Source organism: Homo sapiens, chromosome 22 (assembly GCF_000001405.40).
Source record: "Homo sapiens chromosome 22, GRCh38.p14 Primary Assembly".
Lineage (NCBI taxonomy): Eukaryota > Metazoa > Chordata > Mammalia > Primates > Hominidae > Homo > Homo sapiens.
In genome coordinates, this window is record NC_000022.11 from 29,051,464 (window position 1) to 29,057,815 (window position 6,352).

General features: G+C 45.4%; 1 protein-coding gene across 2 annotated transcripts in view, besides 1 other annotated feature; it reads left to right on the forward strand.

Annotated features, from left to right (window-relative positions):
* ZNRF3 (zinc and ring finger 3) overlaps window positions 1–6,025 on the forward strand; it is a 173,917-nt gene extending 167,892 nt beyond the window's left edge. For both annotated transcript variants that reach the window (NM_001206998.2, NM_032173.4), the window contains exon 9: window positions 2,116–6,025. In NM_001206998.2, coding sequence (NP_001193927.1) covers window positions 2,116–2,159 — 44 coding nt within the window. In that variant the 3' untranslated portion in view covers window positions 2,160–6,025. The remainder of the gene's footprint in view (window positions 1–2,115) is intronic.
* Window positions 3,738–4,032: a silencer, noted in NCBI's record as "tiled region #8961; K562 Repressive non-DNase unmatched - State 23:Low". NCBI's record gives its function as "represses a minimal TATA promoter and a strong SV40 promoter by Sharpr-MPRA in K562 cells {active_cell/tissue: K562}" and the evidence as "EXISTENCE:reporter gene assay evidence [ECO:0000049][PMID:27701403]".
* Window positions 6,026–6,352: the final 327 nt, after the last annotated feature.

The following is a 6,352-nucleotide window of genomic DNA, read 5'->3' on the forward strand; positions in this document are numbered from 1 at the left end:
GGTGGTGGCGGGTGCCTGTAGTCCCAGCTACTCAGGATGCTGAGGCAGGAAAATCACTTGAACCTGGTTGGCAGAGGTTGCAGTGAGCCAAGATCAAGCTACTGCACTCCAGCCTGGGTGACAGAGCGAGACTCTGTCTTAAAAAAAAAAAAAAAAAAAAAGGCAGGACCCAGTGGCTCATGCCTGTAATCCCTGCACTTTGGGAGGGCAAGGCGTGTGAATCACTTGAGTTCAGGAGTTCGAGACCAGCTTGGCCAATATGGTGAAACCCCATCTCTACTAAAATACAAAAAAATTAGCTGGGCGTAGCGGGCACCTGTAATCCTAGCTACTCCGGAGGCTGAGGCAGGAGAATCGCCTGAACCTGGGAGGCGGAGGTTGCAGTGAGCCGCGCTCCAGCCTGAGCGACTCCATCTCAAAAAAAAAAAAAAAAAAACCTAGGCCCCATCCCTGTGCCCACCCTGCCCCTTGCACTTCAGCCTCCTGGGCTTCTCAACCCGCCTGTGAAGGACCCCAGTTGCTTGTTTTTGCCTCAGTCCATGAAAATGAATTCCCAGAAAATGAAACTTAGCAAAAGACATGTAAGATACAAGTCCAGGTATTTTATTATTAGATTCAACAGACATCAGATTGCTACAAGATTTCCAAACATGCTGTCTCAGTAATAAACTGGAGTCTAGCACCTCTGAGTAGCACTGCAACAAGATCTACCTGCAAAGTACATCCCAAATGTATCTACTTCTCTGCACTCCCACTGCTATCCCCTCAGTCCAGTCTCATTTTCCTCTCTTCGGGACAGAGGCAATAACCTCTGACTGATCTGCTGTCACTGGTCTTGCCTTCTATTCCACTTGGAACCAGAGTGGCCTTTTTTGAAACATAAGTTGATGTCTTTGTGCTAGAAAACCCTTCAATGACTTGCCATTACCTTTAAAATCTTAAAAATGTTGGCCGGGTGCGGTGATTCACGCCTGTAATCCCAGCACTTTGGGAGGCCAAGGCAGGCAGATCACCAGGTAAAGAGACCGAGGCCATCCTGGCCAACATGGCGAAACCCCGTCTCTAATAAAAATATGAAAATTAGCCGGGCGTGGTGGCGTGTGCCTGTAGTTCTACCTACTCGGGAGGCTGAGGCAGGAGAATCGCTTGAACCCGGGACGCCGTTGTTGCAGTGAGCTGAGATCGCCCCATCGTACTCCAGCCTGGCGACAGAGCGAGACTCCGTCTCAAAAAAAAAAAAAAAAAGTTAACTCCTGGCTGAGTGCTTTGGAAGGCCAAGGCAGGAGGATCACTTGAGGCCAGGAGCTGGAGACCAGCCTGGGGAACATAGAATGACCCTATCTCTTAAAAAAAAATTTAAAAAAAAATTTTTTTTTAATTAGCTGGGCACGGTGACACATGCCATTAGTCCCAGATACCCAGGAGGCTGAGCCCAAGAGATTGAGGCTGTAGTCATGATCTCACCACTGCACTTCAGCCTAGGCAACACAGCAAGACCCTGTCTCAAAAATAATAATAAATGTTAGCATCTCACTCAGTTCTGTGTGATCCAGCTCCTGCCAACCCATCTGATGAGCTCCTGGTTCACTCTCCTTGCTTCCTGCTTTCACCTCCTGTGGCCCCTGTCCCGTTCTTCCCATGTGCCAAGCTCATTCCAGCCCCCAGACCTGTCCGCTACTTTTCTCCTCCAGATCTTAGGTTAGGTAACACTCCAGCCCCCTCTGAGATCACCTACACACCTTCTGTTCACTTCTGTCATCCTATTGCTAAATTACTTTGTCTCAAGGTTCGTAATCTCTGTGAGGGAGTCCTCTCTGCTGCTTTTCCCAAGGCCTGACGCACACCGGGCACCCAGTTAACATCTTTAATATATTGGGCTTTCGTGCTACCTGAGGGCTTCTAGAAAGCTCTCTACATCCAAGTGAGAGGCTGGCTCTCCAGGAGGTACCTGTGCTCTCAGCACAAATGGAGCCCCTCTGGGAACAGGAACCTGCTTCAGCCCTTTAGCATACACAGGCCTGCCACATGCTGGGGACAGGGCCACCTGAGTCCCTTGCCTGGTCCCATGTGTGGTGCCAGCTCCCTCCCCTGATGATTGTTCTCTCTCTTTCCCAGGACCGAGATCTCACTCAGCAGACAGCAGCAGCCCGGGAGCCTGAGCTCAGGAGGAACTCTTACCTGGAAATTGGGAACTGTATGGAGACTCCAAACTGACTTCTTTCAAAAAACAAAAACAAAAAATTTTTTTAGCTTTGACAAACACACAAAAGTGGTAATAAAGAGAGCCCTCCTTGTCAACCCAAAATGTGAGCCCCCTGTGGCAAAACCACCCCCTACCCCATTAACAAATCAACAGACAAAATTCTCCGAGTCCTTTGCCTCTTTTGATAACATGTTGTTCTGTTTTGTAAAGTGTGTGTGCTTGGGGTTCCGAGGTGTGGGATTGAGTTCTCTGCTTTGTTTTTTTTTAAGATATTGTATGTAAATGTAAAAAGTTATTTAAATATATATTTTAAAGAACCCTAACTGCCAACTTTTGCTGAAAAAGAAAAAAAAATCACTGCTGCATTAAATGAACCACATCATGTGTAGATACTGTTGTCTCCCTGAAGGGAGCTCAGGCCTTTGAAAAGCTCAGGGCTTCACCTGCCTTAGAAAATGAACCAGAAACTTGAAGTAAAGCTAGTTGATAGGGGTACAGGCTCTGAGGAGCAGTGCAAAACTGCCTCTTTCTTTCTCGTGGCAAATCCCAATGTACACGATTTCAGGTCTCAGACGCCATGCCTCTCCAGCCCACGCCTTTAGGCAGGTGATGGCAGCAGCTAGGAATAGGGTGTACATGATCCACAGCCCTGCGGAGCCAGGTCAAGCCGCTGCTATGAAAGCTCCAGGGTGATGGGGACGATTCTGCCCAGTGTCCTCAGTCTGTCCCCTCAGGTCATGGTCCCAAGTGAAATGACAGAGTTCACAGCCCTGGTCTTGGCTGAGGTCCAGGTCATAGTAAGGGCATGTTCTTGGGGCCCTCGACCTGAACTCTGACCCTCCGGGCAGGGAAGAGGAGGTTGTCCCCTTTGGTTGTCCTGGCTTTGGAGTCCTTTGCAAAAATATTTTGGGCCCCCTGCCACTGGCTGCAGAAATGGCTCGACGGGGTGTGTGGGGACAGACACCCAGAAGGAATGTACTTTTGTGGCCTTGGTGTCCGATGGGGCTGGGGGAGAGTGCTCTCCACTGACCCAGCAGCACACCCATGTGCAGTGCGCCTGCATCTGTGTGGGGGCAGCCACACCCCTTGGCTGCTGCTTCCTTGGGCTGCCTTTCTGGGGGCATGTGACTGGACCTACGAGGTCTGCACTGAGCTCCATTTGAATGATACCTTTCCTATCCCATTTCCCCCACGGAAGCACCGCTTCAGGGTTATTCAGTCCTCTGCCTCATGGCTGAAATTGCTCATCTCGTCTGCAGATGTCTACTATCCTGTCTACCTAATGCACTATTATGTATTGATTCTCCATGAGACAGAGAGAGAGAGAGACTATCAGATAGTTTACACCCAAAGGGTAGGTTTTTGTATATTTTTCCAGCCTTTTTTATTAAGGGGAAGGGGAGAGTTTAAAAACCCAAACCGTTGTGGTTTTAAGGTGTTTCATTTTTAAAAGGGAGAGAGAATCTATTTAAAGCTATTTCAGATCAGGGATTGTCATCCTTTTTTGTCCAATGTATTCCTTGTTCTTTAAAAAAATTTTTTTTAGAGGAAACTAATATTAGTCTTTGTGTTCACTAACTCTTCTGGTCACTTGTATTTATTTATTCATTCATTCATCAGATATTTGTTGCCATCTGAAAGAACTGGCCCAGTGGGTCTGAAAGCTCGCTTGAGAATAGGAAACTTGAGACCTGGCCCCCTGTGGGTAGGAGAACAAGGACCACCTGGGTTCTCCAGTCTTGAACGAGAATCTCACTCTTATCAGAATGTTTTTCTTAACCTCAGCGTATGATGAGGAAATTTACTTATCTCTAGCTAGGATTTGACAAATTCCAACATCAAATGATCAAAACATTTGCCACTGAGGCTTCACTGGTGAGATCCGTTCTCCGTCCTCGGGTGCAGTCCCTTGGGGGCTGCTCCTCGGACTGCGCCCCGCACACCTGTTATCGAGGGTGTGAGAAGCGCCTAAGCTGGTGACATGTGATCTGGGACGCCTTCATTTCTCGGGCCAGGAGTAGCAGCTGCTAAGGACAGCAGCTTGCATTGCGTGGTTTTAGGGAAGCAGGGTCTGGCTTTTAATATGAACTGCAAAAAGCAGCTTCTCACTGATATTTTTTTGTTGTTGTTTCTGGGGGGTTTTTTTGTTTTGTTTTTAATGCCTTTGAGTGCATATTTTCTTCCTCGTCTGAAACCGAACTCCCAAAGTGGCTTTCTTTAGCCCTGGCTGGAAAACCACCTCTCAATAGCCTTAAGCAATAAATAGATGAGTAGAGAATGTGGCTTCAACTGGGCTTATTAAAGTAAGTGTGTCTAGTTTTCACTTGAACAAGTGATAGCTGCAGATGGCGAAAGAAACCCATTTAATTTTTGTAGCTTACAGGTGGTAGAAACAAAAATGCAATTTTAAAACCTTAAATACCAAATACCAACCATTGCCTTTTTTTTTTTTGAGATGGAATTTTGCTCTTGTCACCCAGGCTGGAGTGCAATGGCGCGATCTCACCTCACTGCAACCTCTGCCTCCCGGGTCCAAGTGATTCTCCTGCCTCAGCCTCCCAAGTAGCTGGGATTACAGGCATGCGCCACCACACCCAGCTAATTTTGTATTTTTGGTAGAGACAGGGTATCTCCATGTTGGTCAGGCTGGTCTTGGATTCCCGACCTCAGGTGATCCGCCCACCTCGGCCTCCCAAAGTGCTGGGATTACAGGCGTGAGCCACCATGCCTGCCCAGCAATACCAACCATTGTCTTTTAAATTCGTGTTGGCTTCTCAGACAGGGAGATCACTGGAATAAAATAACCGATGGTCTTATTTTGTCACACGTAAATCAAAAGAAATGTCCTCTTTGAAGTTGTAAGACTCCACCAATGACAGACACCCTTTTCGGTGGACTCTGAGTGGTGTGTAGTGGTTTTATAGCCATGGAAACTAGGAGTATCTCACTTTCCACTGAGAACCCCTGCCCCCAATCCCTCTAAGTTGGGGTGTGGCAGTTGGGCAGGGTCAAGTGACCCAGCCCTGGCTGTAGGACAGCCATATACAGTGAAGAGTTCTAGAACCAGCTAAAAATGGAAGTTTGGGTGTTTACCAACAAGGTACCTCTTTATGGATGCAGCCCCAGTAAGCTGGCTTTAACTCTCAGCTCCTTCCCTGTCTCCTCCTAATCCAAGCCCTTTTATAAAATAAAGCCCCTTCTGTCCCACTGCTCACATACTTATGTGCTGCTAGTCTCTACTCGAAGTTCGTGCAGGACTAATGCTTTTAAAATGAGGTCTAAAAAATAATTACTAGTCGAGACTATTATTCTTTAAACAGAACTGCCTTTTTCTACTCTTTATGTAAACTCTTTCTATTGTGTTGGTCTAACAAGGCACTATTTTAAAATTTTTTAATTTTTCCCATAGCACTTAAAAGAGATTTTGTAAAGACCTTGCTGTAAAGATTTTGTAATAAAATGGTCTAAGGGCTCTTTTTCCAACATTACCATTTTTAAAAAATGTTTTAAAAGCTAGAAGACAACTTATGTATATTCTGTATATGTATAGCAGCACATTTCATTTATGGAAATATGTTCTCAGAATATTTATTTACTAATATATTTATCTTAAGCCATGTCTTATGTTGAGAGTGTGACATTGTTGGAATAATCATTGAAAATGACTAACACAAGACCCTGTAAATACATGATAATTGCACACAGATTTTACATATTTGCAGACCAAAAATGATTTAAAACAAGTTGTAGTCTTCTATGGTTTTGTAACAAATTGTACACATGACTGTAAAAAAAAAATACAATTTTATCAAGTATGTGTTATATGTTGTCATTGGTCTGTTCAGTAAAAGTCTGCAGATTCAACAAGGGGAGGTTTGCATGGGGCAGTACTTTTAACTTCTACTCGTCCATGGAAGCATTCATATAACTTTCTCTCCTGTTAATATAGAGTCCAGGTTATTGGGGGTTTAGGCAGTGTCACAGGAGAGCATCTGTTATAAGGTGTGTGGGTTTACATCCTTGTGAGAATGGTAGGCTTTCTGCTCAGCCCTATGTAGAAGGAGCTAGGGAAAGTGATAGTGATTGAGCCTAGGGGTCCACTTTTTATTTTTTATTTATATTTATTTATTTATTTATTTATTTTTGAGA